At 38.7% G+C, this 2,433-nt stretch overlaps 1 annotated feature.

The window, feature by feature from the left end:
- Window positions 1,705–1,999: a silencer, noted in NCBI's record as "tiled region #6427; HepG2 Repressive non-DNase unmatched - State 24:Quies, and K562 Repressive non-DNase unmatched - State 24:Quies". NCBI's record gives its function as "represses a minimal TATA promoter and a strong SV40 promoter by Sharpr-MPRA in HepG2 and K562 cells {active_cell/tissue: HepG2 | K562}" and the evidence as "EXISTENCE:reporter gene assay evidence [ECO:0000049][PMID:27701403]".

The following is a 2,433-nucleotide window of genomic DNA, read 5'->3' as shown; positions in this document are numbered from 1 at the left end:
CTAACGTGTGTCTAGAAAATCACAGGTGCAAGCAATTATTGGGGTGGGGGGCATTAAGGAGAAATAATTATTCACATTTTCATTCTAATTTAATAATATCCCCAGGTTTCTGGATCCTTGCTAGGCCAATTGCCTGAGTGGGAAAAACTGAGGCACGTGAGTTTTAAGAGTAAAGGCACTCTTGTTTCAAGCTTGTTGTGTTGCTCAATGCAAACGGAATACACAGTAAAGAATATAGCTTCCTTAGAAGCATATTTCATAAATTTTACTACAAAAGCTTAATTTTTAAATGGTAACTATTCACATTTACAGCCTTTAGTTCGTGCTATCAAATTTTGTTCATATATTCAAGATTTATTTATTCAGTTTACAAAGATTTACTGGATGTCTCAGTGTCACAAATTCAACTGTGAATAAAAGAAACATGACTCCTCTCATGGAGCTTATAGTCTGGAAAGGAATGAATCTATACACTAATGTTATGTGTTAGATAACAGCCATGAAGATGTCATTGGATTAGGCAATTTCAGTCATAATTTTGGTTTTGGGAAAAAGTATCAGGAAAATATGTCCTAAAGAAATGGCTTTTCAAAATGAAGATAGGGCCAGGTATGCTGGTTCCTATCTGTAATCTCAGTGCTTTTTCGGGAAGCAGAGGCAAGAGGATAGCTGGAGACCAGGAGGTTGAGACTAGCCTGGATAACATAACAAGATCTCATCTCTATAAAAACAAACAAAAAACACAGTGAAAATTAAAGCCGAGGCCAGGCACAGTGGCTCATGCCTGTAATCCCAGCACTTTGGGAGGCCGAGGCGGGTGGATCATGAGGTCAGGAGATCGAGACCATCCTGGCTAACGTGGTTAAACCCCGTCTCTACTAAAAATATGACAAATTAGCTGGGCATGGTGGTGCACACCTGTAGTCCCAGCTACTCAGGAGGCTAAGGCAGGAGAATGGCCTGAATCCTGGAGGCGGAGTTTGCAGTGAGCCGAGATGGTGCCGCTACACTCCAGCCTGGGCCACAGAGCGAGACTCCGTCTAAAAAAAAAAAAGAAAATTAAATCCAAGTGAAGTGGTATGCACTTGGAGTCCAGTTACTTGAGAGACTGAGGCAGGAGGATCAGTTGAGTCAAGAGTTCAAGGTAAGCCTGGGCAGCATAGCAAGAACCCATCTTTTAAAAAAAAAATGGGTTGGCCAGGATATTAATATTATTGATATTGACATTATTGATAAAGGATATTAAGGCATAGGCAATAGCATGTACAAATGACCCCAGATAAATAGAAACTTGTCACATAGGAGAAGATGAAGGAAGGTAAATTAGAAATAAGAATAAAGGACAGGGAGGTTGGATCAACAGGAAGCTAGAGATGAGGAGCTGGGCTCCTCACCTCTGGAAGGACAAGGGAACAAAGATGATAAGAAGCTGGGTTTGATTCTGAGATAATGGCTAGCTGCTCAGAGGTTTAAGCATATAAGTTTTAAAAATAATTTGATGCATTATCAAAACTGAGTACATACTGGGTACCAGTCATTATGCTTGTGATTGGAATACAAGGCACATGTGAAATGCTTTCTGTCCTTCAAGGAGCTCACTACCTTAAAAGGGAAACACATGAGAAAATCTCATATTTACAGTAAAAGGATTAAAGCACCTAGGTTTGAACAGAGCATGGACCAAGTGTTATGAAAGTTAAGAGAAGCAGCCCAGAAAAGGGTCTTTAACTCAGTCTTTGAGTGGATTTCAAGGGTATGTCTAAGGGGAGGTAGTATTGAAGTCAAGTCTGGAAGAACTTGCAGAAGCTGACCAAATGGTCCAATGTTCAGGAAAAACTTCCACATAATCCAAAAAGCATGCCCAGAGACATATTTGTCACATTGAGAGGATTTCCTGCAGATTAGAATAGCTAGAGAAAAGGTTATGAGTAAGAGAGAGGCAGGAAATGTGGCTGGAAAGATTTATGTAGCGTACCTTTGTCCTGTTAAGGAATGAGGAATATTAAAGGGTTTGTGTGTTATATCACCTTCCACTTTTTAGTGAATATTCACCAAAGGAAATTCTAAACTTTGCCTTTGCAGAGAAAAAGAGCTATTGAATTGGCTAGTTCTCAGTAATACAAGTTACTGTCTTAACCATCTCTGTCACTTTTCAAAAGTCCACAAGAATTTATACCTATTCAATAAAATGTTAATTTATGCTTCAGGAAAAAGAATAGAGGAATATATATCTTAAGGTGCTCTTTTTCATTTTGGATTTGAGTTTGCATCAACCTAAAAAATGGAATAAATTTTCAAAAAAGACATCAAATACTCAACAGAGAGGAAGAAAAAGGTCCCTATTTATCATGTTCCTGCAATAGTGGCTGAGTGATATATTGTGATTACAACTTTTTTTTTAATTGGCAGGTTTCTGGGGTGCTATGGGAATTG

This window comes from Homo sapiens, chromosome 9 (genome assembly GCF_000001405.40).
Source record: "Homo sapiens chromosome 9, GRCh38.p14 Primary Assembly".
NCBI classification, from domain to species: Eukaryota; Metazoa; Chordata; class Mammalia; order Primates; family Hominidae; genus Homo; species Homo sapiens.
Note: the sequence above shows the minus strand (reverse complement) of the source record. Positions and strands in the feature narration are given on the sequence as shown.